The sequence below is a fragment of the Homo sapiens genome, chromosome 7 (assembly GCF_000001405.40).
Source record: "Homo sapiens chromosome 7, GRCh38.p14 Primary Assembly".
NCBI classification, from domain to species: domain Eukaryota; kingdom Metazoa; phylum Chordata; class Mammalia; order Primates; family Hominidae; genus Homo; species Homo sapiens.
Window position 1 is genome coordinate 151,028,277 of NC_000007.14, and position 25,208 is coordinate 151,053,484.

Below are 25,208 nucleotides of genomic sequence, written 5' to 3' on the forward strand. Positions count from 1 at the left end.
GGCTCCGCCCAGAGCAGGGGGCGGGCGGATAGGCGATTCCCTCCAATCACAGTTCCAAAAGGAGGGGGCTGACAACATATCCTCCAATCACAGCTTGAAGTGAGATTGATGTGTCTTTTCACCAATCACCGCCAAGGCGCGAGGGGGTTGTCGGGATGGGGGCGGGAGCCAACATAGAGCCCTCAGTGGGATGAGGGTGAAACTGCTATTGCCGGCGGCTCCTGTTTTACCGCGTCAGCATGCTGGTGCATTTATTTCGGGTCGGGATTCGGGGTGGCCCATTCCCAGGCAGGCTGCTACCGCCCCTCCGCTTCCAGACATTCTCAGCTGTCAGGTAAAAACGGAAAAACCTACTCAGAGCGGGCCATTGACCGCCCGGCAGGGCAGTGCCGGCCCGCCGGGAGATGGAGTCCACGAGCTTGCGCGAGGCTTGCTGGGAGCTGTAGGCCAGGCCTACCGGGGTGGAATGTCACTCCGCGGGTGTTGGCCTCAATTATTTATAGTGACACTCCAGTCGCCAGCAGGAGGCTCCTGCGTCTGCAGCCGCGTGTCAGCCAGAAGGAGGGGACGCTCGGGGTCAGTGACCACGCCCAGTCCGCACTCCCGACCGGGGGTCCCCTTTCCTGGCCCTGGAGGTGATTGCGCGATTTGGACGAAAATTCTTATTAGTATGAAGAGACATTTAATGTAGTGGTGCTTCCAGGATTCAAAGTGAGTCGAAGAAGAACTAGAGATGTTCAGCAGGGATAAAGAGCCAATCTAATAGGCCGGGCGCGGTGGCTCGCTCCTGTAATCCCAGCACTTTGGAAGGCCAGGAGTTCGAGACCAGCCTGGCCAACATGGCAAAACCTCGTCTCTACTAAAAAATACAAAAATTTGCCGTGATTGGTGGCACGCGCCTGTAATTCCAACTACTTGGAAGGCTGGGGCAGGAGAATCGCTTCAACCCGGGAGGCGGAGGTTGCAGTGAGCTGAGATCATGGCCACTGCACTCCAGCCCGGGTGATAGAGTGAGACTCTGCCTCAGAAAAAAAAAAAAAAGAGTCAATCTAGTAACTTGTACATGTGTGTTTTTCGCAAAACACTCTACACAGGTTGGTCGAGAGAGAGAGACAGACAGACAGACAGATGGGAAACAAACAAGGACCCTGAAACTACAACTCGAATGTAAATGCTTTATGAGAAGGGACTGATTCCTTTTTTTTTCTTTTCTTTTCTTTTCTTTTCTTTTCTTTTTTTTTTTTTTTTGAGACAGAGTCTCGCTCTGTCACCCAGGCTGGAGTGCAGTGGCATGGTCTCGACTGACTGCAACCTCTGCCTCCTGGGTTCAAGCAATTCTCATGCTTCAGCCACCCAAGTAGCTGGGATTACAGATGTGCACCACACCCGGCTAATGTTTGTATTTTTAGTAGAGACGGGGTTTCATCATATTGGTGGGCAGACTGGTCTTCAACTCCTGACCTCGGGTGATCTGCCTGCCTCGGCCTCCCAAAGTGCTGGGATTACAGGCATGAGCCACCTCACCTGGCCATCCTTTCTAATCCTAGAGTGAATTACTTGGGGGCCAAACAGATAGAAGATTCCCAAGGGCAGGTGGATGTGGAGTTGTGTCATTTGGAAAGCCCATCTGACTGATGGAGGGCAAGAGCTGGATCGAGCTGGAGCTGGAAGTCTTGGTACTGGGAAGTAATCCACATGCTCTTGGCAACGACCAAGACTTTCTTAGAGTCTTAGTTTGGAGACAATGCAAGAAGCTGGAAAAAGACCATGCTAAATTATTGAAAGGTTTAAAAACAGTTCTTAGGAAAGAGTAAGGGTGTTGATGTTATTTAAACCAGAGAGAAACCCAAGGAAAGACATAAAATAATATTCAAGTATATATGTGTTCATTAGTCAGTATTTTTCAATAGATTATGAAATGCATTTAGTTGGTCAGGACCATTTAAAAGTAAATATAGGCTGGGCACGGTGGCTCACGCCTGTAATCCCAGCACTTTGGGAGGCCAAGGCAGGCGATCACCTGAGGTCAGAAGTTTAAGACCAGCCTGGCCAACGTGGTGAAACCCCGTCTCTGCTAAAAATACAAAAATTAGCCAGGCGTGGTTGCACGCACCTGTAGTCCCAGCTACTCGGGAGGCTGAGGCAGGAGAATTGCTCAAACCTGGGAGGCAGAGGTTGCAGTGAGCCGAGATTGTGCCATTGCGCTCCAGCATGACAGAGCAAGACTCCGTCTCAAATAAATAAATAAAAGTAAATGTAGGCCAGGCACAGTGGCTCACACCTGTAATCCCAGCACTTTGGGGGGCCAAGGCAGGCAGATCACTTGAGGTCAGGAGTTCAAGACCAGCCCGGCCAACATGGTGAAACCCCATACAAAACTTAGCCGGGTGCGTTGGCTCACGCCTGTAATCCCAGCACTTTGAGGGGCCGGGGCAGGCAGATCACTTGAGGTCAGGAGTTCAAGACCAGCCTAGCCAACATGGTGAAGCCCTGTCTGTACTAAAAATACAAAAATTAACCAGGCATGGTGGTGGGCGCCTGTAGTCCCAGCTACTCGAGAGGCTGAGGCAGGAGAATCGCTTGAACCTGGGAGGTGGAGGTTGCAGTCAGCCAGCATAGCACCACTGCTCTCCAGCCGGGGCAAAAGAGTGAGACCCTGTCTTGAAAAGAAAAGAAAAGAATCAGAATACATGTTAAGAATTAGAGAAAATGTTATTTTGTGAAGCATTTCCATTTTGTGTGGCATGTATGTGTTCATTGTACTGGGTTGCAAGTAAGATATGTTTCTTGCTGTAGGCCACAGTAAGTCTAAACATTTGCAAAACCCTGTAGTAGTTAGGTCAGATTGTCCTGCACCTCTAATGAGGGCATGCATGTGCTCAACAAGCATAAACATTTGCGGAACATCTATTATGTACCGGAGTTCTGCCAGTGCTGTCTAAGATATAATTTCCTGCCTTTCAGAAACACATGGCGTAATGGGAAAACTGGACAGTTACACAAGGCAGAAGGAGAGTAAGCGTCTCTATCTTTCTAATAGAAACAAGAACACAGTGGAAAACAAGACATAAAAACCTGGCAGTTGGAATGGGGTGGGAGAAGGCCTCATGTAGGCAAAAGGCACAGGCCTTCCTGAAAGCAGGGGAAGGATGAGATGAAGACTGCAATTAGAAGGGTCTAGGGATGTGAAAGGCCATGATGGTAAAGAGAAAAGCTCACACTACTCTTTTTTTAAACCTTTCCCCATCAGTAAGCTTATCTAGATCTTCTAGATCTCACCATCCTCTCCTGGCTGGATAACTTCTGCTCCCTACAACCAGTCCTGTCTGCCTCCAGCCCATGCCCCTCTGCTATGATCTTTTTTTTTTTTTTCAAGACAGAGTCTTGCTCTGTTGTCCAGGCTGGAGTACGGTAGCACGATCTTGGCTCGCTGTGACCTCCTCCTCCCAGGTTCAAGTGATTCTCTGCCTCAGCCTCCCAAGTAGCTGGGACCACAGGCACACACCACCACATCCAGCTAATTTTTAGTAGAGACAAGGTTTCAACATGTTGATCTAGAACTCCTGGCCTCAAATGATCCACCCGCCTCAGCCTCCCAAAGTGTTGGGATTACAGGCGTGAGCCACTGCGCCCGGCCATGCTACGATCTTTAAAATGAAAACCTAATCTTGGCACATCTCGGCCTAAAAATCACCATGACCCTTATTGCCCCCCAAGTCCAGGAGCTTTATAAGAACTAGAAAACTGCCCCTCCCGCAAGTCTCATGTCTCTTTTCCCTTCTTGTAGGTCAGGCTTCAGCCATACAATTCCTGAAATTTCTCTCCCATCCTTTCTTACTGGAGATACCTGCACTTGCTTTTCCTCTGCCTAGAGCTCTCCCCTTTACACTCCACCCCCACCTGTGCCTGGCCTGTTCCCCCTCACAGGTTCCCCCTTACCTAGAAGGCCTTTCCTGACTCCCTCTGAGGAGAAGGAGGAGCAGGGCTTCAAGCTGTTTTGTGCCTCTGATTTCCAGTTAACTGTGAGTCTCCCGCACTCAAGCATGACTGCTGTGAGGGGAGTTACTTCAGCTGTCATGTAACTCCATAACTCCGAGCAGAGCACCTGCACACAGTAGGTTCAAAATGTGTAGAATAGGCCAGGCACGGTGGCTCATACCTGGAATCCCAGCACTTTGGGAGGCTGAGGCAGGTGGATCATGAGGTCAGGAGTTCAAGACCAGCCTGGCCAATAAAGCGAAACCCCATCTCTACTAAAAATACAAAAATTAGCTGGGCGTGGTGGCTCGTGCCTGTAGTCCCAGCTGCTCAGGAGGCTGAGGCAGGAGAATCTCTTGAACCCGGGAGGCAGAGGTTGCAGTGAGCCGAGATTGTGCCGCTTCACTCCAGCCGGGGTGACGGAGCGAGACTCTGTCTCAAAAAAAAAAAAAACACAATGTCTAGAATAGTGGAATCGATGTTAGCATTTTATAGATGTGGCAGCTGAAGGAAAGAGAAGGTAATTGTCCTATTCAAGATGACAAGATAAGTTATTAGAATTCTTATTTTTCTCTGTTTCCTCCTTCAGCTGTGGAGAGGGAGTGTGTGTCATGGCGCCCCAGGCCAGGGAGGGGAGGTAGGGTAATGGGCCTGGGACATCAGAAGACATGGCACACTGGCAGAGTAGAGCCAGCCTGGGTGCTGGAGTCAGACTGCAGACTTGGTTCCCTGCTCGTCCCAGTTCTGCTGCCTGCGGACAAGTTATTTCAGCTCTCTTAGCTCCACATGATTTTTTTCATCTGTCAGGTGAGAATAATGGCACCTCCCTCCCAGGGAGGTGAGGATCAAGGGAAGTAGCCCATTAGCTCCAGGAGGTGGGGCTGTGTCTGCCCTGGTGGCTGCTGTGAGCAAGTCCAGTGCCGGGCACAGGAGCAGCTCTCTTTCCTCACCTCTCTGCACCGTGGTCCCTTAAACCCCCGGCCCCTTCCTGTCCAGGCAGTGTGTGGCCATCTAACGTGCCATCCAGTTCTTCAGGCTGTCATTCTGTCAGAGCCTGGAGTCGAGGCTGCGAGGGCCCTGGCTGGCTGGGTGTTGCCTGAGAGTTGCCCAGGGGAATAAGACTTTTAAGACTAGATTTTGTGCTCAGTGCCTCATTCCTCTGCGACTTTGCCCATGGACATGTCTTAGAAACTGAAGTTGCTTCAGAACAGCCCTGAGAAGGGCAGGGGCAAGGGCCTGACAGAAGAGGAAGTGCTCCTTCCAGAGGGCTCAGCCAGAGCCCCATGGGTGTGCTGGTCAGCAGGAGGGCAGTCGGAGCCTCAAGCCATCCATGCCTCTCTCTCCTTACAGGTACTCTGATGGCTACCGCAGCTCCTCCCTCCTCCGGGCCGTGGCCCACCTGCGGTCCCAGCTCTGGGCCCACCTCCCTCGAGCCCCCCTAGCTCCCAGATGGAGCCCCTCTGCCTGGTGCTGGGTTGGGGGAGCCCTGCTAGGCCCCATGGTACTGAGTAAGCATCCCCACCTCTGCCTTGTGGCCCTGTGTGAGGCAGAAGAGGCCCCTCCTGCCAGCTCCACACCCCATGTCGTGGGGTCTCGCTTTAACTGGAAGCTCTTCTGGCAGTTTCTGCACCCCCACCTGCTGGTCCTGGGGGTAGCCGTCGTGGTGAGGCTTTCCCCACTTCTCCATCCTGGGGACAGGGCAGGACCCAGAGCTGCAAAGGGATGGCATTCCTGCCTCGCTGCCTCTCAGGGGAGAGCTCAGGGGAGCAGCAAGGGCTAGCCAGGGGTCCAGGGGTGCCAGGAGCATCAACACTGGGTGGCTGGGTGGGCAGGGTTCCGTGGGGACTGGAAGCCAGGGTTTGAACCTCTGAGAGGCACTGATGTGTCCACATGACCAGCCACAACCTGGACAAGCGCAGTGCTCAGTAGTGGGAGAGGAAGGGCCAAGATCTGGCTGGGGATGGGGAGGAGTGGCTCCCCCACTTAAAACATTTGTGCCCTCTGTCTCCCCATTCCAGCTGGCCTTGGGTGCGGCACTCGTGAATGTACAGATCCCCCTGCTCCTGGGCCAGCTGGTAGAGGTCGTGGCCAAGTACACAAGGGACCACGTAGGGAGTTTCATGACTGAGTCCCAGAATCTCAGCACCCACCTGCTTATCCTCTATGGTGTCCAGGTACAGCCGGGAGTGGGGCTGGGGACCGCCGAGGAGCCACCCGAGGCATCCCTGAGTGCACTGGGCTCTTTCGCAGGGACTGCTGACCTTCGGGTACCTGGTGCTGCTGTCCCACGTTGGCGAGCGCATGGCTGTGGACATGCGGAGGGCCCTCTTCAGCTCCCTGCTCCGGTACTGCCAGCCGCAGGGTGCAGAGTTGGGGTGACTGATGGCCTGAGGGGTCTGGGGGTAGGACCTTATCCTGAAGTAATGTCTCCCTCTTCTGCCCTCCTTATTGGTTCTTGTCCCATGCCAGACAAGACATCACCTTCTTTGACGCCAATAAGACAGGGCAGCTGGTGAGCCGCTTGACAACTGACGTGCAGGAGTTTAAGTCATCCTTCAAGCTTGTCATCTCCCAGGTCAGTGGCCCAGTGGCCCCCACCACGTCCACACACACACTTTCCCATGTGGATTCACCAGGCCAGCCCTGCCCGCCCCAGCCCTGATGTTGGGCTGACAGGCGCATGCTGACTCGAGAAACCCACTGCCTGTGAGGGCATGGGTGAGGGACCATGGAAGTTCATGGAAGGAAAGTGTAGAGGCAGTGTCCAAGGTCAGGACAGGCTGCTTCTCCACTGCTCTGAAACCGAATCTTCCCTGGAAAGCCTTCCCAAGCACTCAGACAAGAGCCTTTCCTGGCAAGAGCAAAATCACTTCGCCTGCCTTGTCCCCAGAGTGCCTGGATTGCTGACAAGCATTGAGCATGTGCAGTGGCCTACCGAACACAGATGCCCTCCCCTTATCCGCCCACACCGACTCTGACTGCTGGATCATGCCACACACTGGCCTAGGCAGTCACTGGTGTACCCCCATGCAGTTCTCTTTGTTCAGTTCCTAGAACAGAAAGAGAAGCAAGCTGGGATTTGTCTAGGGGAAGGATGCCACAGTTCATAGCATTCTCGCTCGGCCCCCTCAGGCCTGCTGCTCGCACCCCAACTGGCCGAGTTAGGGTTACGTACTGTGACCGGTGGACTGCCACTGGGCCTCCCAGGGGCCAAGACCTGGGCCTTGGCCGTGGGAGTGCAGAGCTACAGTCAGCTGACCCTTGGAAAAGTCCTTCCTGTCATGGTGCGGACGCCGTAGCCTCCCGCCTTCCCTCCCACTCCCTAGGGGCTGCGAAGCTGCACCCAGGTGGCAGGCTGCCTGGTGTCCCTGTCCATGCTGTCGACACGCCTCACGCTGCTGCTGATGGTGGCCACACCAGCCCTGATGGGAGTGGGCACCCTGATGGGCTCAGGCCTCCGAAAATTGTCTCGCCAGTGTCAGGAGCAGGTACCGGCATTCCTGGCCATCCTCTTCACCCTCCCCACACCGTTTCTCTTTCCACTCCCCGGAACTCCTCCCTGTCCCCATCCTGGACTCCTTGTCCTGTTTTCTGGACTCCTTGTCCTGTTTCCTGGACTCCTTGCAGATCGCCAGGGCAATGGGCGTAGCAGACGAGGCCCTGGGCAATGTGCGGACTGTGCGTGCCTTCGCCATGGAGCAACGGGAAGAGGAGTGAGTCCTGGGAGGGCGGAGCACAAAGCAGAGATGCCCCCCACACCCTGCCAACCCTTCGTGCCAGCCCAGCTGCCTCCTGAATGCACTGGTCTCTCTCACCAGGCGCTATGGGGCAGAGCTGGAAGCCTGCCGCTGCCGGGCAGAGGAGCTGGGCCGCGGCATCGCCTTGTTCCAAGGGCTTTCCAACATCGCCTTCAACTGTGAGTGAGCCATTTGGGGGCTGGAGGGGCGCTTGTGGGCTGGGGAGGAGCTGGGAGCAGCCAAGGCAGGCAAAGGCCCTCCCTTCATCTGCTGGCTGCCTGCATTCGCCTCGGGCCAGCTGCTAACTCTTGCAGGTAAAGGGAGGGTGCCGATGTCCCAACCCAGCTATGGGACTCCATGTGGAACGCTACAGGGCCACCCTCAAGGAGGCCATGGAGGCGTGCCCACCCCAACTTGCTCTTCCGAGGAGGAAGCCAACGCTGGGACCAGTCATGCGCCTCACCTGACTCTCCCAGTCAGCAGTGGCAGAGCAGGCCCAGGGCTGTTTCCTCTGCCCTGGCTTCGTCCTCCCTCACTTCCCCTCTCCTGCAGGCATGGTCTTGGGTACCCTATTTATTGGGGGCTCCCTTGTGGCCGGACAGCAGCTGACAGGGGGAGACCTCATGTCCTTCCTGGTGGCCTCCCAGACAGTGCAAAGGTAAGTGGGGGCCGTTCCCATTGCTACAGAGCCCCCTGCCGCCCTCCAGAGCCCTGCTGGGTTAGGGGACACGGGTGCCAGCCTTCTCTGGGGGCCGACTGCTGTGCAGCTCCAGGCCTGCCCAGCTTCCCCAGGGATGCATAGGGTGGGGAGAGAGAGCCCCTCAGGGCCCATAACAACCCTCCTGGCTGGGGCAGTGGCGCTGCAGCAGGCAGGTGCTTGTCATCTTCAGCCTTCCAAAGGACCCAGAAGTTTCCTTGACAGGCTTTTTAAAAATTTGTTTCAACTGTGGTAAAGTACACAAAACATAAAATACAGCATTTTAACCATTTTGAAGTGTGCAGCTCATGGGCAGTGGGTGCACTCACATTGCTGTGCGGCTGTTGTCACCGTCCGCCTCCAGAACTCTTACCTGGCAGAGCGGAAACTATCCCCATGACATGGGAATCCCCATTTGCCCTCCCCCAGCCCCTGGCACCCACCATTCCACTTTCTGTCCTTATGATTTGACAACTCTAGGGACGTCCTCTAAGTGGAGTCAGACTATGTCCTTTTGTGACTGCGTTTTGTCACTCCACATTGTGTCCTCAGCTTCCTCCGTGTTGCACCCTGTCCGAATTCCCTTCCGCTGCAGGCTGTGACATTCCATGCATGGAAGGACCATCCTTGACAGGCTGTGTGAGCTGCCCTTCCCCATGCCTGCCACTTCCAGGGATGACAAGCTGACCCCTGTCCCCACACACCCCACCCTTATAGCTTATTGCTTTGCGTTGGTCCAAAACCACCCGCTCAGCTGAGCCTCTGGGATGACCAGAGCTGATCACCAGACAGCTCAAGGCGGGCCTCCCCCCTCCTATCTCTTTCCAAGCTAAACACAAGCAGTTCTACATAAATATGTTATGGTAAATAATGAGATAGTAAATATGCTGTAACAGATCATCAAAGGGTGAAGACCCGTCTCCACGAACCGTGCATCACCTCTGCCACCCCATCCCTCCCCCCACGACCCCCCTGCTCTTCCACCGGGGCCCCCACCCCATTCTACTGAGGCATGTGTCCTCGCCCTGCTGCATGGTGCACCCCTGCGTGTGTGTCCGCCGGATCAGAACCCCTCACTGCAGGGTGTACTGTCCCAGGAAGCGGGAGGCGGACGGAGACAGGCTCCCATTTTCAGCCCCAAACCTGACATTCCACAGAGACGTTCCTCCCATTTCCGCAGCTGCATGGACACCCTCGCGTGCCCCGTTTCTGCTCGTGCTCCCTAATCTGAGCACCTTCAGACCCTTTCTGGTCCCGGGCTCAGGCCTCCTTGGCAGCCTCGCCCTCCTCCAGCCCAAGGAGCTGTTCTGTCGTGGCTTTGGAATTCAGATGCTCTCACTGTGATAGAGATGGGGTCTTGGGGGGCTGGGAGCTGTTCTGTCGTGGCTTTGGAGTTCAGATGCTCTCACTGTGATAGAGATGGGGTCTTGGGGGGCTGCCTCCACCACTGCCTGCCCTGCTCAGCGCTGACCCACTTCCCTTGACCAGAGTTTTGGCCTCTCTGAATGGGACGGTCGTTTTAGTCCTGAGGGCCCATAAGAAGCCCAGTGGCGGCTGGGTGCGGTGGCGCACACCTGTAATCCCAGCACTTTGGGAGGCCGAGGTGGGTGGATCGTGAAGTTAAGAGATCGAGACCATCCTGGCCAACATGGTGAAACCCCGTCTCTACTAAAAATACAAAAATTAGCTGGGCATGGTGGTAGTCCCAGCTACTCGGGAGGCTGAGGCAAGAGAATCGCTTGAACCTGGTAGGCAGAGGTTGCAGTGACCTGAGATTGCGCCACTGCACCCCAGCCTGGCAACAGCAAGACTCCGTCTCAAAAAAAAAAAAAGAAGCCCAGTGGCTCCCTTAATAAAATCACCCCTTAGCCCTCTGTGGTGGGCAGTGGTGGGACAGTCTCCCTGTGGGGAGGGTGGCTGCACTGTCCAGCCCCAACCCTCCCGCTTCGGGACCCCCACTTCCCCTTTAGGGCCTGAGACTCTGACTTTACCTCCCACCGTACTGCTTGGCCATCCAGCAGCTTTATGACACACACAAGAACCCCCAGGGGCTTGTCTGTGCTGTTTCGCTGGCTGCTCCCACAGCCACAGGCCCTAGACCCATCCTCTTGGAGGTCCTTCTAGCGCTGCCTATGTGGAGATTCTTCCCCACTCATCTTGGGGGTTTGGATTTGTTGCATAAAGCAGCTGATGTGTTTCCCACAGGGTCCTGCCAGCTAAGCCAAGGGCCCATGCATTGGCACTGGGGTCTAGCAGAGAGAGGGGAGCAGGATGGCCCGGCCTACCTCAGGCAGCCTAACCTATGAGCCCATCCTGAGTACTCCTGATGGAGATGGGGAGGTGCCCAGACAGACAGCAAGTGGGGCCCAGCCGCCTCATCAGAATCAGGGCCAGGCTCCACCTGGGAACAGGCCCGTAGCCTACAGCCCACGGCCCCTGAGAGCAGGGTCATCACACTCCAATGAGTCATGTGCATTTTGAATTTCAGTTGCTGCCCAGCCCCTTTGCCAGGCCCTAATGTCTTCCAGATCTCTGGTGGAGAATGTGCCCCTGCTCATCAACAGATAGCTGGCTGGGCTGGCTCCTTCCTGCCTGGTGCCTCCCCCGGCTGCCTTTAGCAAGTGCTGACTGCACTGAGTCCACTGGGACCTTTTCCTTTTGGGTTTCGAGGCTCCTCCCACTCACCCCCACCCTAGTGCTGGAAGAAGTGAGTCTGCAGCTGAAGGGTTGCTGGGGAGTCAGTCTTTCCTCTTACTTAGGAGGGGACCAGGCATACACACACTGTCACAGGTCAGCCAGGCCAGTCAGGGACCAGTGACTCACCTTCCTCCTCAGCCTCCTGGCAGCCGGCCAGCCCTACCCCGGCCCTGCCGGGACGAAGGAGGCCACCCACTGTCTAGACAGATAACACTGTGGGTATACTTATCTGCAGGGCAAGCTCATGAGAAAAATTTTTTTCAGGGAATTTTGTTTTGGGGTCTCCTGAGAGTTCCCCTGTGGCCCAGTGTCTTCTGTTTTCTTCTTTCTCCAAAAAGATTTAACATCACTTCTTCCACCTAAATGTCTGCCAAAGTCATTGCTTCCCCAAGAGTCTGCAGCATTAGATCTGCTCTCCCCTTCTAAGCCACGCACCCTTGATCTCTGTTCATGGTGGCGGCCTCCGCATCCTCAGGGCCGAGCAGGGAGTCCGTGGGTCAGCTGGGCTCCCTTCCTCGTGGGCTGATATCACCGCTGCATGTGTGCACAGGCCTCACCCTGCAGACCACAGGCCAGGGCACTGGAGGACACCCACAGAGGCCTGTGCCTTCACTTCCATTTCCTCGTGGAGCACCCCCTCCCAGGGGCTTGGGCTGAGCTGAGGGACAGCTGTCATCCTCATCTGGCCAAGGAGGGAGCCAGGGCTCAGCGATCTGGTGTTGCTACGTCCCAGGGCTCTACGCCCCCATGGTGCAGGAGCAGTCTCTGCATTTGGCCACAGGCCACCTGCTTCCTTGCTCCCCCGCCCCACCGTGGCTTCCTTCCCCTCCTCTGGCTCTTCTTGTTCCCATCTATTCCACCCCTCTCTCCTTTTTCTGACAGGTCCATGGCCAACCTCTCTGTCCTGTTTGGGCAGGTGAGTGGCCGGTAGGGTGGAGGGCCTGGGGTGTGGAGTTTGTGCCGTGTGTGCCGCTGTGGGAGCTGCCTATTGACTGGGTGTGGGCGGGCAGAGGAGCTGGGGAGACCCCAGCCCAGAGCCATGGCCACTCCCTGGAGATGCTGTTGTCACCCCTACTCCTGCCTCCCTGCGGACTTTGGATCCCCTCCCACAGGTGGTCCGGGGGCTGAGTGCAGGTGCCCGGGTCTTTGAGTACATGGCCCTGAACCCCTGCATCCCACTGTCTGGGGGCTGCTGCGTCCCCAAAGAGCAGCTGCGTGGCTCCGTTACATTTCAGAACGTCTGCTTCAGGTCAGCACGGGTGAGCAGGCGTGGGGATGGGTCCCTGGGCCGGGGATGAGGCGAGTGGATTCGGGGGTGGAGGTCTGGACTAATGTCCCCCATAAACAGGCCCTCTCAGAGGGCTACAGGGAGACTTCAGGAGGGACCCGGGCAACAAGGGCTGGGAGCCTGGTCTGACTGGGGGTCTCTCGGCTCCTCCCAGCTACCCCTGCCGCCCCGGCTTCGAGGTGCTGAAAGACTTCACCCTGACGCTGCCCCCTGGCAAGATCGTGGCCCTCGTGGGCCAGTCTGGCGGAGGTAAGGGGAGCCCACCACCTCTTCACCCTCTGACTCTTCTCTAGCAGCCACTCAGAGCAAGGCCGGGAGCAGTGAGCCCCCGGTGGGGTCCCTTCCTCCACTGCCACAAGGGGCCTTCTTTCCTGGGACAATCCCTAGAATCCCTGGCCTCCCTCCCTCTCAACCCAATTCCCCAGGAAAGACCACCGTGGCTTCCCTGCTGGAGCGCTTCTACGACCCCACGGCAGGCGTGGTGATGCTGGATGGGCGGGACCTGCGCACCCTTGACCCCTCCTGGCTCCGGGGCCAGGTTGTCGGCTTCATCAGCCAGGTGCGGGGCCACATGGGCAGCCCTTGGCTCCCACTGCCCGTCCTCCCCTGGGCCCTGCCCCCTTAGTCCTCAGGTGCCTTTTCTTTCTTTCCCACCCTCATCCTTGCTGCTCTCGGGAGACCCTGGCCGTCTTCACATGTCCTCAGCTGTTGTCTGGGTGAGGCATCCCTGTCGTGGGAGCAGCCACAGCTCTGCCTGGTCTCCCAGAGCAGGGACGCTTTGTCCGCATTTACAGCAGTCTACACAGATGGGGAATCCCTCAGATTCTCTGCAAATCCCATAGCATCCAGGTCTAGAGAAGCCTATAGTGGAGGTGCTGAGCTGCAGCCGTTCTCCCTCTGCTTGAGGTGGCACTGCCCAGCGAGGGTCCACCCTTCCCTTTGAGGGCCGTGAATGAAGAGGGCATGCCTGCTGTCCGCCAGGGAGAGTGCCTGTGCAGAAGAAAGGCAAATGCAAGCCCCCAACTCCCAGCGCCCTGCCCTGCCAGCTCCTCCCACTCCCACTCCTGGGGAGGGATTCTGGGCCCTTGGTAGGAAGTCGAACTGTCCTTCCCTTTTGGGGGCCACTCTGCATCCTCACTTCACCTCTGACTTTGAACGTCTGATTCTTCAAGAGATCCTAATCTAATCCACCAGATAGACTGTCCCATTGTGTATGGTGGCCCCTCCAGTTTCTGGGGCAAAGAGAATGTTTCTATGGACTCTGTCTCCATAACCCCTCACCCACAGGAGCCCGTCCTGTTTGGGACGACCATCATGGAAAACATCCGCTTTGGGAAGCTGGAAGCTTCCGATGAAGAGGTGTACACAGCCGCCCGGGAAGCGAATGCTCACGAGTTCATCACCAGCTTCCCCGAGGGCTACAACACGGTCGTCGGTGGGTGCTCGGGTCTGCCGGGAACCAGGTGGTGAGGCACTGGGACACAGGATTCCACAGGAGCAGTGAGCAGCCCAGTGGGACTGAGGGCAGCAGGGACAGCTGGGGAGAAAGACAGTTGTGTCAGGGAAGACGAGAACCACAGCCAAAGGGGACAGAGTCGTTGTGTGGGGACAGGGGAGTCCAGGCCAGTGTGGTTCAGAACCAGCAGACCAGGCAGGCTGCAGAGACAGGACGGGCTCTAGGAGGAGCTGGAGAATGCGACAGAGGGCATATGACAGGCTCCTGGCCAGGGACACAGTGATGCATGGTGTTTGGAGTCCTCACCGAGTCTAAAAGGCCGCCACTTCCCCAGACTGAACAGAAGAAATGGGGGGCTGCCTCCTCTCCACCATCCATCCCCCTCTGGCTCCTGTTTCCTTCCTGTGCTTTTCATCTCTAAAGTCGTTTCTCATTAGAATCGGGGTGACTGGATGGGCCCCAGGAGAGGGCTCTGGTGGTTCTGAACTAGGAACACGCAGCCTGGCACTGCAGGGCGTGCACCTTGCAGCTTGACGTGCGGAGCTCCCAGGTCTTTTTCCAGCCTTCGGGGCCATGTTTCTCGGCCAGTGTCTTGGCTCTGTTGCACAGTGTTTCAGCACTTCTCAGGATACAGGGATACCTGGGCTTCTCAACTCTGGTCAGTCTGAGTCCAGCCTTCTGAGCTGTGGGGCCAGTGTCCCCAGCCCAGCCATCGTGTTCTAGATGGCTCCTCCAGCCGTGTTGATACACTGTCCAGATGCCAGCTGTCCTCACTGGGTGCTCTCCCACATCTCTTTTGGGTGGCACTTTCCTTGTGTCTCTGATCCTAGTACTTTCTGCTCATTTGGGCCTTCTTGGGGCTGCGTCCTTACTGACCTGTCACCCTGCTGTCACCTTGAGGTTCTTTTTGGCTCCCAGGCTGCCACTTGTGCTGTCCTCTGTGGGCTTCGAATCCCACCTCCCTGGAGTCACTGGACCCCAGAGCCCATGTTTGGGTGCTGGATGTTCCCCACAGCCACAGAGACCCGGGAGGCTGGGAAGGTGGCTTGGAACTGCAGGCACAGGGCAGGGTGTGGGTCATCCTGGCCTGAGGCACTGCCATGGCTGGGGAGGGGCATTTGGCAACTCCCTTGGAGTGCACCAAGCCCTGCTGGCGGTGTCACACCACCCTCAGAGGCAGGGCAAGTGTGCACAGTGGCTGAGGGACCCAGAGGTGGGATGAGCCAGTGCAGGGGGAACCCAGAGGAGGAGTGTACACAGTGTGGGGTGGGGGGTCAGAGGCAGGAGGAGGGTGCACAGTGCGGGGTGGGGGTCAGAGACAGGACTAGGGTGCACAGTGCGGGGTGGAGGGTCAGAGACAGGACTAGGGTGCACAGTGTGGGGTGGAGGGTCAGAGACAGGACTAGGGTGCACAGTGCGGGGTGGAGGGTCAGAGACAGGACTAGGGTGCACAGTGTGGGGTGGAGGGTCAGAGGCAGGACTAGGGTGCACAGTGCAAGGTGGAGGGTCAGAGGCAGGACGAGCGTACACAGTGCGGGGTAGAGGGTCAGAGGCAGGACGAGGGTGCACAGTGCGGGGTGGGGGGTCAGAGGCAGGAGGAGGGTGCACAGTGCGGGGTGGGGGTCAGAGGCAGGAGGAGGGTGCACGGTGTGGGGTGGGGGGTCAGAGGCAGGAGGAGGATGCACAGTGCGGGGTGGGGGTCAGAGGCAGGAGGAGGGTGCACAGTGCTGAGAGGGGCACTTAGAGGATCTTGATGGGCGTTCAGGAAGGACCCTGTGCCCCTTTGTGGGCCACCCTCAAGTGCACAGCTTCAGGCTCCTGCCCTGCCCCTCCCTTCCCAGGTGAACGGGGCACTACCCTGTCTGGGGGCCAGAAGCAGCGCCTGGCCATCGCCCGAGCCCTTATCAAGCAGCCCACGGTGCTGATACTGGATGAAGCTACCAGCGCGCTGGATGCAGAGTCCGAGCGGGTTGTACAGGAGGCCCTGGACCGGGCCAGTGCAGGCCGCACGGTGCTGGTAATTGCCCACCGGCTCAGCACTGTCCGTGGGGCCCACTGCATTGTCGTCATGGCCGATGGCCGTGTCTGGGAGGTTAGTTGTCCTGGGGGCGTGGATCAGTGGGTTGAGGATGGCTTCATCACGGACAGTGGCACAATGCTGCAATGAGTTATATGAAGTTGTGGCCTGGCCCCAGGGCCTTGGGGGCTATATTCTGGAAGCAGCGTCCCATATAGAGTCAGGAGTTCCTGCATTCAGCCAAGCCCTGGCCTCTCAGGCCCTCAGTTTCTTCTTCTGTCCCCTGGGATAGTATAATTGCACCATCAGCTCCCAGGATCAAAAGGAAAAGTACTAGCCGGGTGCCTGTAATCCCAGCACTTTGGGAAGCCAAGGCAGAAGGATCTCTTGAGGCTAGCCTGGGCAGCATAGCGGGACCCTGTCTCTACAAAATACCAAAAAAAAAAAATTAGCCGGATGTGGTGGCATGCACCTGTACTCCCAGCTACTCTGGAGGCGGAGGCGGGAGGATTACTTGAGCCCCAGAGGTTGAGGCTGCAGTGAACAATGATTGTGCCATTGCGCTCCAGCCTGGCATCAGAATGAGACCCTGTCTCAAAAAACAAAAAGGAAACATACTCAGAGTATGGTGCTGGGAGCAAGGAGCAGGGCTAGCTGCCCAGGGTATCAGGTGCAGGAGAAGCAGCGCCAAGGAACCTGTGCAGGGAGTCAGGAGTAGGACCCCAGAGGCCGTGTGGCGTTGGCTAACAGCCACTCATTCAAGCCAAGGCTGAGGGGCTCGTGCAGGGAGACGGATCCTGAGTTGGAGCCTTGGGCTCTGTAAGGGGGACAGAGGGAATCATGTTCTTCCAAAATTCAGCTAAGTAAGGAAGTGGCAGTAACTAATGCAGCATGCCAGTGGCGGTTCCTTTCAGATTGGGCATTGGTTTCAGAGTGTCCCCAGAAGGGACACCGGCCTAAGTGACCATGGGCCCAATGGCTGATAGAGAGGCTCAGCTCTCTGAGGGTTCTGAAGCCTGCATGCCTTGGAGCAACCATCCGCCCTTCCCTCCCATCTTCCAGGCTGGGACACATGAAGAGCTCCTGAAGAAAGGCGGGCTATACGCCGAGCTCATCCGGAGGCAGGCCCTGGATGCCCCGAGGACAGCGGCCCCACCGCCCAAAAAGCCAGAAGGCCCCAGGAGCCACCAGCACAAGTCCTGAGAAGGGCCCCCTGAGGTGTGGTCGCTGCCAAGCATCAGTGTTAGGGCTGGGGCTCAGCCTGGGGGAGCCTACTGGGGACTGAGCCCCCAGGAGGGCCAGCATGTGGAGAGTCGCTGCGGCTGCTCCTGCTCACAATAAAGCCGGGGCCGAGCAGCTGGCAGGGGAGGCCAATCCCTCCCTCCCCTCCCCAGTCCTGCCGGCTGCCTCCCTCCCACCAGAGTCTGCCAGAGTCATTGGGCTGCAATGGGCAGAGACAGAGTTCCACGAGACACCTCCACTCTATTCTCCCTTTGCCCAGACCCCTCCAGACCTCTCAAGAGACGTTCTGGCCAGTCTCCCTGCCCCACCCAGCAGCTTCAAATTGGCCAGGCCTACAGTAGCTCCAGGGAATTTTTAAAAATCAGGGTCTGGAAGTGGGCCTGGGAATTCAAACCTAGGCTCTTCCCACACCCTTGCTAGGACCTCACTTCCCTAGACTGGCGACTGACTCCCTCTCCTGTGTCCCCACTCCCTCCATGGGAGAAGGAGCCTATCCCCTGGCTCACCCCGGGACCCACAGTCCCCATCTTCCAAACAACCTCCCTCCTTTCTCCCTGCACAGTGAACACAGTCCTGATTTCTAGATTTCACCTCCCCTCCCCACCCACAAGGGACACAGGCCTAACAGGGCCCAACACTTGGGTCAGGGTAGGAGGGACGGGGCCACAATGGCCAGTTCCCACGAGAAGCGCCAGCCTGCCTGGCTGTCTTCCACCGGCCCTGCCCTGTGTGCCTGGCGTCTTTCACCCACTGAGATTGTGAACCAGCCTCCATCTACACCAAGAACACCCAGCACTGAAGGAGATGGGAGGGGCTGATGCCCACCTGGAGCTCTCTGCTTCCTGCCCACAGTGCTGACGAGTACAGAGCTAAATGGAGCAGCTACTGCAGAATCCAGTACAGAATCGGTCCAGGAGGGTGCGGCTGTGGACAGGCCAGCATCCCCAGCAGGTTCTGGGAGGCGCACCTTGAAAGGGGAAGGCAGACATCCTGAGTGATGGGCGCCTGTGGCCCTGAGACTGTGGATGAGGGGGCTAGGCTCCAGCTGGCTTCTGAGGGGCCTGGAAAGGCACACAAGTAGGTCCTTGGCTGAACTGGTGCCCCAGCAGGACCTCGTGTCCCTGCACTGCTGCAGATGCATCAGCCCTCCCCATGTTGGTGCCGCTGTCACTTCCTACTGGGATCCTTCCCCTATCCAGCCACATCCAGGCTGTGGGACTACACGGTGCCCTGTTCCCCTGGGCAGGAGAAGAGGTGGTACCTGCAATGCACCTTCACAGCCAGGCAAGCATTCTGGATTTACCCTGTGTAAAGAAGGGTGGTACCCTCTTTCAGGGGTGTGATACAGTGCATTGATGGAGCAGCTGGTGCTGCTGGGAGGCCAGCCTGGAAGAGGCAGCAGTGGCTCAAGTTTGCGTGCAGGAGCCAGAGTGGGACCCACGGGCTCTTGTGGGTGTGGTTTAGAACTAGATGGTGCTTTGGGGACAAGCCATCCAAAAACCCCAGGCCCACATCCACCCTGATTTGATATCCCACTTCCTGACAGATCAGAGGCTGTGTCTTTAAGCAGTGGAGGTCCAGGAGCAGAGCCTGGGGCTGGTTCACAGCTAAACCCCTCCTTAGGGCAGCCCAGAGTAGGGCCTCAGCTGGCAAGTCCACAAGCCCTGCTGGGGCCCTGCTTGTTGGCCTGACCCCTCCCTCACCAGGCAGCCAGCCAAGGTGGTTCCTGCTTCACCCACTCAGTCATCAGCCTCAGGCTGCCCAAAATGCCTCTGACACCAGATTTATATCTTCTGGGCGGCTTCTTTAAATCCAGCCCTTCACCCGCCCCCTAGAGAAGCAGTGAAACCCCTTGGCTAGTCCAGCTGGAAGAGCTAGACCGCAGGAGCCGCGCCGTCTTCCTAACCTCGCCTCGGCCTTCGCTCCACAGTGGAGAGTGGGAGCCTAGCTGTGCTTGATGCTGAATGCCTGTTTTGAGAGTGTGAGTGGGATCATCTACAGTAAATACTTGCAAAGCATGGCACTGTGGCTCTGGGGAGCTGGTACGCCTGTGCTGTAACCATGGTACTCAGTCCTTCCAAAGTGTTTATTAATCAAGCACCTGTCATGTGCCATTGAGCCCACGATGGGGAATGAGGACAGTCCCTGCCCCCATGAAGCTTGTGTCCTGTTGGGAGGACAGACAGGTGGCCCAGCAGTTGCAGCATGGTGTGTGCACACGTTTGGCTGGTGGAACCATGTTTCTACCACTCATGGTCAAAAAAAGCCCACCAAAGTCCTGGGAGTTCACATCTGTGTGATGATACGGCAACATTGTTTGTAATGGAAAGACTGGACACCCCCAGTGCCCATCAGTGGGGGAGTCATTAAATAAACTATGGTATGTGCACATAATGGGTGGTATGCAGCCCTTTGGAAAAATGTAGGTTTTCCAGGTCCTGGATATAGCAGCGTAAGATGGGAAATCACAGAATACCCATGTTGTGCCTGAGATGGCAGGTGGGGTACCCGTGGTACCCGGGAGGGTGGCAGGTGGGGCACCCATGTTCTACCTGGGGTGGCAGGTGAGCCCATAACCATTGTAGAGGCCAACATCCTCAGAGGCCTGAGTGTGGGGAGGTAGGCTTTGACTCCCTAGGGAGAGAGGGACACTTAGGAAACAGACGGGCCCTGGAAGTGGGACATGAAGAGTGCCCTGGCCATCCAGTGTAGGCTGAGATGCTAGGGGCACAGAAAGAAGAGATCTGCTGATGCCAGCCTTCCAACCATTTCCCAGCTTGGCCAAGAGCCAGCTCTGGTATTCGTGAAGGAACAGATCCTGGGTGAAGCTAGAGGGAAGGCCGCAGAGGCAAAAGGAGAGAGGAGCTAGGCCAGGGGTCAGCGACTGACCCTCGCGGCCAGTGTACAGGGGTTGCAACTGGGAGCCTAGGGGGCCCCAAGGCATCTCCAGGCCCAATCTACCTCTGGGCTTTTCTCAAGCTCTCCCTAGGATTACTGCGGTTTCCTCCTGGCGCCTCTCGTCTTGGACAGCCATGCCCCCCTCCATGCTGCACTAATGGCTCAGCCTGGGGCCCTAGGGACCTCTCCTACCCCCCAGACTGCTCTGTCGGCCCCCTTTCCCCCCTACTGCTGAAACCCAATCCTCTGCAGCAGCGCCGGCTCAGCACCGCCGGCTCAGCACCGCTCCGCAGCCCCTGCCTGCCACGGTCAGCTACGTCCCACCTGGTCTGCTGCGGAGTCCCCAGCCCAGTGCCTAGCCCAGTGGAGCCACCGCCTGTTCCTCGGGAAGGAACAGTGGGACCTGACCGGCCAGATCACCTCCTCCAATCCTGCCAGGCTAGTGCCTCCCTGCCTTCCAACCTTGGCTGTCTCCCACCCTCTCTTCTCCTCTCCTTGCCTGGCCTCCTGAATCCTATCTTAGCCTCCTTAGCCCCCTGACTGACTCTCTCTCGCTTCTTCCAAGCCTCTGTAGCTGGTTCCGCTCCTGGGTTCTGGCCATGAAGCCCACCTCAGGCCCAGAGGAGGCCCGGCGGCCAGCCTCGGACATCCGCGTGTTCGCCAGCAACTGCTCGATGCACGGGCTGGGCCACGTCTTCGGGCCAGGCAGCCTGAGCCTGCGCCGGGGGATGTGGGCAGCGGCCGTGGTCCTGTCAGTGGCCACCTTCCTCTACCAGGTGGCTGAGAGGGTGCGCTACTACAGGGAGTTCCACCACCAGACTGCCCTGGATGAGCGAGAAAGCCACCGGCTCATCTTCCCGGCTGTCACCCTGTGCAACATCAACCCACTGCGCCGCTCGCGCCTAACGCCCAACGACCTGCACTGGGCTGGGTCTGCGCTGCTGGGCCTGGATCCCGCAGAGCACGCCGCCTTCCTGCGCGCCCTGGGCCGGCCCCCTGCACCGCCCGGCTTCATGCCCAGTCCCACCTTTGACATGGCGCAACTCTATGCCCGTGCTGGGCACTCCCTGGATGACATGCTGCTGGACTGTCGCTTCCGTGGCCAACCTTGTGGGCCTGAGAACTTCACCACGGTGAGCTGACCTCCCTACCTATCCTGCCAGGGACCCAGAGAGCCGACCAGTCCCTGCCCAGCACCCACAATTCCCTAGCCAGCACAGGCTCCCCCAAAGCCAGGGGACCTCTTCCTTCCTACCAGCCATGGACTCCCCACCCCCCAGTGCCACTCCGTGCAGCCCAGGAAGCTGTCCTCCTTGGGGCTTTCTCTGTCTCCCAGCCCGAGGGGAGCATGTGAGGCCACACTGACCCCGGCTGGCCCTAGGCCTGAGGTCTGGCCCAGGGAGGCCCTGCTCCTGGGGCTGGGGGTCCTCCATGGTGGGACCATTCTGGGGCAGAAGACCCCTATCTCTGCCAGGAGGTGGGGGGGGCTTGCTTTCCCTCTGCCTTTTCAACATACTGCCAGCCCCGGAGGACAGCCACAGGGGCCCATTTCCTTTTCCTGCAGTTCCCAGAGAAACACAGAAAAACCTGTAGGCTGTGCCCTGGGCTTTGGTGGGGATTGGCGGGGTGGAGGAGCTGAGTTGATGGGCTCCCAAGAGCGTCCTGCAACATGTGCCCACTGGAGCGTGGGGCTGGGGGCATTGAGATGCGGGCTTCAGTATTCAAAGAAGAGACGCAAACATACCATGAGGTGGGGAGAGGTCCCATGACCATGTGCCTGCCTGGGGGAGATGGCCATCACCCTGTCTGCCCGCCCCAGATCTTCACCCGGATGGGAAAGTGCTACACATTTAACTCTGGCGCTGATGGGGCAGAGCTGCTCACCACTACTAGGGGTGGCATGGGCAATGGGCTGGACATCATGCTGGACGTGCAGCAGGAGGAATATCTACCTGTGTGGAGGGACAATGGTAGGGAGCACACAAATGAGGCTGGGGGAGGGCACGGATGGAGTGCAAAAGGCTAGGGGAAGGAGAGGAGGAGAGGAGGTGTCAGGGTGTTCCCCCAGAACCTGTGAAAGGGGCTGGGCTGGCTCATCCCAGTCCTGGGGAGAGGGGCTGCAGTGAGAGGTCTTGTCTGGTTGGGCAGGAGACCTGACCACACAGGTCAGGCCTCACAGGTCCCTCCCCGACAGAGGAGACCCCGTTTGAGGTGGGGATCCGAGTGCAGATCCACAGCCAGGAGGAGCCGCCCATCATCGATCAGCTGGGCTTGGGGGTGTCCCCGGGCTACCAGACCTTTGTTTCTTGCCAGCAGCAGCAGGTACCCTTCCGTGTGCCTCCACACCTACTACTTCAAGCCCACACCACCTCAGACCCTAAACCCTCAGCTCCTCAGACCTGTCTAGGGGCCTCTCCCCAGCTGGCCTCTCACGCTCTCCGGGAAGCCTCCTTAACCCTGTCCCCCCACAGCTGAGCTTCCTGCCACCGCCCTGGGGCGATTGCAGTTCAGCATCTCTGAACCCCAACTATGAGCCAGAGCCCTCTGATCCCCTAGGCTCCCCCAGCCCCAGCCCCAGCCCTCCCTATACCCTTATGGGGTGTCGCCTGGCCTGCGAAACCCGCTACGTGGCTCGGAAGTGCGGCTGCCGAATGGTGTACATGCCAGGTGAGGGGCTGGGGTTTTCGTCCCATGGCGGGCAGGGCCCAGGGAGCTGAGGCTGCTTCTAAAGCCATCTCCCCGGTACCCGCAGGCGACGTGCCAGTGTGCAGCCCCCAGCAGTACAAGAACTGTGCCCACCCGGCCATAGGTAAGGGCGAGCCTCCCCCACCTCCCGTCCGCCCCGCTCCGCCCGCGGGCGTCTGACGCGGCCCGGTGGCCCGCAGATGCCATGCTTCGCAAGGACTCGTGCGCCTGCCCCAACCCGTGCGCCAGCACGCGCTACGCCAAGGAGCTCTCCATGGTGCGGATCCCGAGCCGCGCCGCCGCGCGCTTCCTGGCCCGGAAGCTCAACCGCAGCGAGGCCTACATCGCGTGAGCTGCGCGGGGCGGGCGGGCTCCTCCGAGCCGGGGGCTCCCGACGGGGCGGAACGGGGCAGGCCAGGCCGTAGCCCTAGTGCGCACAGCCCGGGCGGAGGCAGCCTCCGCAGCCTCACTGGCTCTGGGGCTCCGTGCTGGTTGCTTAATCTTTCTGGCCCCGGGGGATGCTGACGCCTCCTCCCAGGGGTCTGTTTTTTTTTCCTTTCCTTTTATTTTTTAATCTTTACTTTTAAAAAACAGAGACGGCGGGGGGCGGGGGAGGGGAGGGGAGGGGACTCGCTGTATTGCCCAGGCTGGTCTCAAACTCCTGGCCTCAAGATCCTCCCTCCTCATCCTCCCAAAGTGCAGGGAGTACAGGTGTGAGCCACCGTGCCCGGCCTCTCCCAGGGTTCTTGAAAGGAGTGGGAGAACCCACAGCTGCTTCTTGCCAGCAGTGGGCACCAGGCGGTGGCCAGCCCACATTTGAGGCCATTCTTGTCCTCAGGGAGAACGTGCTGGCCCTGGACATCTTCTTTGAGGCCCTCAACTATGAGACCGTGGAGCAGAAGAAGGCCTATGAGATGTCAGAGCTGCTTGGTGTGTGTGCAGGGCCCCCAGGGCTGGGGGGGTGTGGGCAGGCAGGTGGCTGTAAGTTGAAGGGTGACCCTGTCTCCACAGGTGACATTGGGGGCCAGATGGGGCTGTTCATCGGGGCCAGCCTGCTCACCATCCTCGAGATCCTAGACTACCTCTGTGAGGTGGGCCAGGGCCCCCACTGCAGGGGGTGGGAGGTGGGAATCAGGGCCCCTAGGATGAGGGGGAAGGTGTGCACTGGCCACCTCCCATCCTGCTTGCCTCCAGGTGTTCCGAGACAAGGTCCTGGGATATTTCTGGAACCGACAGCACTCCCAAAGGCACTCCAGCACCAATCTGGTAACAGCCCCTCTTCTGGAGCCCTTGCCTGCTCCAAGGGTGCTAGGGCCCACCCCTGAAGCCTAGACCACCATCCCGCCCCAGCTGAGGAGAAACAGGCAGGAGGGTGTGCAGTGACCTCGACTGGTCCCTGGGAGGAGGACCACTCCCCACCTCTGACCCTCTCGTCCTCACACAGCTTCAGGAAGGGCTGGGCAGCCATCGAACCCAAGTTCCCCACCTCAGCCTGGGCCCCAGGTAACACATAATGGCCCCCTAAAATCAAGGGAGGGCAGGGGCAGGCTCAGGACAGTGGGTGTGCCCGTTCCCACCCCAGCACTCTGCTCTGTTCCGAAGACCTCCCACCCCTCCCTGTGCCGTCACCAAGACTCTCTCCGCCTCCCACCGCACCTGCTACCTTGTCACACAGCTCTAGACCTGCTGTCTGTGTCCTCGGAGCCCCGCCCTGACATCCTGGACATGCCTAGCCTGCACGTAGCTTTTCCGTCTTCACCCCAAATAAAGTCCTAATGCATCAGCCTCAGCTGTTTCTCTTACAGGGCAGAGACTAGCCAAGCCAAGGTCAGCCCAACTTAGGCATTGGAAGTCTTCTGCCAGCCATCATCCAGCTGGACGTGGCTTCTGAAATGTGGAGCTGGGCCCTTGAACCCCCATGAATCTCTAGGGGAGAATGGTAGCAAGAGGTTATCAGTCATTTGCACCTCAGTGTGAGTGAGTTTAGCCGACTGACATCTTAGAGAGAAGGGAGGACAGGTATCCTCCAAGCCCGGGTTAGGTGTGAGGTGCAGAATCACAGTCAGCAATAAAGGTATAACTGGAAGAAAACTCTGCCCAGAGCTCAGCAAGAAGAGGCAGGGAGAAGACGGGGTGACTCCACTTTCAAGAACACCTGTGTCCTGCCTTACATCCTGACTCCTTTCCCACATTTGGGACCAAGTGCGGCACACAGCCTGTCTCCATACAAACAAGTTCTGCCTCCTCAGCCTCCCCACAAGAGCTAAAGGCCCCAGGCTTGAGACGGTGGGGGTGGGGGTGGGGGTAGGCGGAGCCCTCCCTTCCTCTTCCTGCCAGTAAGGACACACCAGGCCCCAGCCACAGGCCCAACTTCCCTCTCTTTCACTGGACCCCAAACATTGGGAAACTGACAAATAGGGAGTGGGAGGGGGTGTTCCTGATGGAACCATATCTTTGGGGCTCTCCTGTGCCAGCCTGCAGGCCTTGGTATGGGGGGGATGATGAGGGAAAGG

The 25,208-nt window shown here is 58.1% G+C and overlaps 2 protein-coding genes across 8 annotated transcripts, besides 8 other annotated features; both read left to right on the forward strand.

Moving 5' to 3' along the window:
* Nucleotides 153-757: an enhancer, noted in NCBI's record as "H3K27ac hESC enhancer chr7:150725516-150726120 (GRCh37/hg19 assembly coordinates)". NCBI's record gives its function as "activates a minimal SCP1, AML or CMV promoter by ChIP-STARR-seq in naive H9 embryonic stem cells {active_cell/tissue: H9 hESC(naive)}" and the evidence as "EXISTENCE:reporter gene assay evidence [ECO:0000049][PMID:30033119]".
* ABCB8 (ATP binding cassette subfamily B member 8) lies at nt 174-19,506 on the forward strand. 4 transcript variants are annotated; one of them, NM_001282291.2, is made up of 17 exons: nt 174-334; nt 2,965-3,015; nt 5,329-5,641; nt 5,997-6,152; nt 6,229-6,323; nt 6,448-6,553; nt 7,305-7,466; nt 7,606-7,691; nt 7,797-7,894; nt 8,268-8,373; nt 11,992-12,025; nt 12,222-12,358; nt 12,552-12,646; nt 12,823-12,956; nt 13,685-13,832; nt 15,695-15,945; nt 16,933-19,506. In NM_001282291.2, exons 1-17 carry the CDS (start codon nt 240-242, stop codon nt 17,071-17,073), a joined length of 2,208 nt encoding a protein of 735 aa, NP_001269220.1. In that variant the 5' UTR covers nt 174-239; the 3' UTR covers nt 17,074-19,506. The 4 variants fall into 4 exon arrangements, with proteins under 4 accessions (NP_001269220.1, NP_009119.2, NP_001269221.1 ...); NM_007188.5 differs by lacking the exon at nt 2,965-3,015; NM_001282292.2 differs by lacking the exon at nt 2,965-3,015 and having other exon boundaries at nt 15,695-15,870.
* Nucleotides 197-506: an enhancer, noted in NCBI's record as "active region_26845". NCBI's record gives its function as "activates an Ori minimal core promoter by ATAC-STARR-seq in GM12878 lymphoblastoid cells {active_cell/tissue: GM12878}" and the evidence as "EXISTENCE:reporter gene assay evidence [ECO:0000049][PMID:35858748]".
* Nucleotides 758-1,361: an enhancer, noted in NCBI's record as "H3K27ac hESC enhancer chr7:150726121-150726724 (GRCh37/hg19 assembly coordinates)". NCBI's record gives its function as "activates a minimal SCP1, AML or CMV promoter by ChIP-STARR-seq in naive H9 embryonic stem cells {active_cell/tissue: H9 hESC(naive)}" and the evidence as "EXISTENCE:reporter gene assay evidence [ECO:0000049][PMID:30033119]".
* Nucleotides 10,852-11,636: an enhancer, noted in NCBI's record as "H3K27ac-H3K4me1 hESC enhancer chr7:150736215-150736999 (GRCh37/hg19 assembly coordinates)". NCBI's record gives its function as "activates a minimal SCP1, AML or CMV promoter by ChIP-STARR-seq in naive H9 embryonic stem cells {active_cell/tissue: H9 hESC(naive)}" and the evidence as "EXISTENCE:reporter gene assay evidence [ECO:0000049][PMID:30033119]".
* Nucleotides 11,637-12,420: an enhancer, noted in NCBI's record as "H3K4me1 hESC enhancer chr7:150737000-150737783 (GRCh37/hg19 assembly coordinates)". NCBI's record gives its function as "activates a minimal SCP1, AML or CMV promoter by ChIP-STARR-seq in naive H9 embryonic stem cells {active_cell/tissue: H9 hESC(naive)}" and the evidence as "EXISTENCE:reporter gene assay evidence [ECO:0000049][PMID:30033119]".
* Nucleotides 19,507-20,015: 509 nt separating the features above from the next.
* Nucleotides 20,016-24,480, forward strand: ASIC3 (acid sensing ion channel subunit 3). 4 transcript variants are annotated; one of them, NM_020321.3, is made up of 11 exons: nt 20,016-21,143; nt 21,830-21,980; nt 22,205-22,332; nt 22,482-22,677; nt 22,763-22,819; nt 22,896-23,043; nt 23,534-23,625; nt 23,707-23,786; nt 23,890-23,961; nt 24,140-24,198; nt 24,278-24,480. In NM_020321.3, the coding sequence occupies exons 1-11, from the start codon at nt 20,610-20,612 to the stop codon at nt 24,408-24,410; spliced, it is 1,650 nt and encodes a 549-aa protein (NP_064717.1). In that variant the 5' UTR covers nt 20,016-20,609; the 3' UTR covers nt 24,411-24,480. The 4 variants fall into 4 exon arrangements, 3 of the variants coding, with proteins under 3 accessions (NP_064717.1, NP_064718.1, NP_004760.1); NM_004769.4 differs by having other exon boundaries at nt 20,255-21,143; nt 24,298-24,478; NR_046401.1 differs by lacking the exon at nt 22,896-23,043 and having other exon boundaries at nt 24,298-24,480.
* Nucleotides 21,767-22,405: an enhancer, noted in NCBI's record as "H3K4me1 hESC enhancer chr7:150747130-150747768 (GRCh37/hg19 assembly coordinates)". NCBI's record gives its function as "activates a minimal SCP1, AML or CMV promoter by ChIP-STARR-seq in naive H9 embryonic stem cells {active_cell/tissue: H9 hESC(naive)}" and the evidence as "EXISTENCE:reporter gene assay evidence [ECO:0000049][PMID:30033119]".
* Nucleotides 22,838-22,947: a silencer, noted in NCBI's record as "silent region_18791". NCBI's record gives its function as "represses an Ori minimal core promoter by ATAC-STARR-seq in GM12878 lymphoblastoid cells {active_cell/tissue: GM12878}" and the evidence as "EXISTENCE:reporter gene assay evidence [ECO:0000049][PMID:35858748]".
* Nucleotides 23,261-23,839: an enhancer, noted in NCBI's record as "H3K4me1 hESC enhancer chr7:150748624-150749202 (GRCh37/hg19 assembly coordinates)". NCBI's record gives its function as "activates a minimal SCP1, AML or CMV promoter by ChIP-STARR-seq in primed H9 embryonic stem cells {active_cell/tissue: H9 hESC(primed)}" and the evidence as "EXISTENCE:reporter gene assay evidence [ECO:0000049][PMID:30033119]".

Coding starts and splice junctions, on each gene's coding strand:
- ABCB8 (NM_001282291.2), top strand. CDS start 240: ATGCTGGTGCATTTATTTCGGGTCGGGATTCGGGGTGGCCCATTCCCA. Junction 6,324..6,447: donor CTCTTCAGCTCCCTGCTCCG/GTACTGCCAGCC, acceptor GTCCCATGCCAG/ACAAGACATCACCTTCTTTG. Junction 7,692..7,796: donor ATGGAGCAACGGGAAGAGGA/GTGAGTCCTGGG, acceptor CTCTCTCACCAG/GCGCTATGGGGCAGAGCTGG.
- ASIC3 (NM_020321.3), top strand. CDS start 20,610: ATGAAGCCCACCTCAGGCCCAGAGGAGGCCCGGCGGCCAGCCTCGGAC. Junction 23,787..23,889: donor TCCTAGACTACCTCTGTGAG/GTGGGCCAGGGC, acceptor GCTTGCCTCCAG/GTGTTCCGAGACAAGGTCCT. Junction 23,962..24,139: donor GGCACTCCAGCACCAATCTG/GTAACAGCCCCT, acceptor GTCCTCACACAG/CTTCAGGAAGGGCTGGGCAG.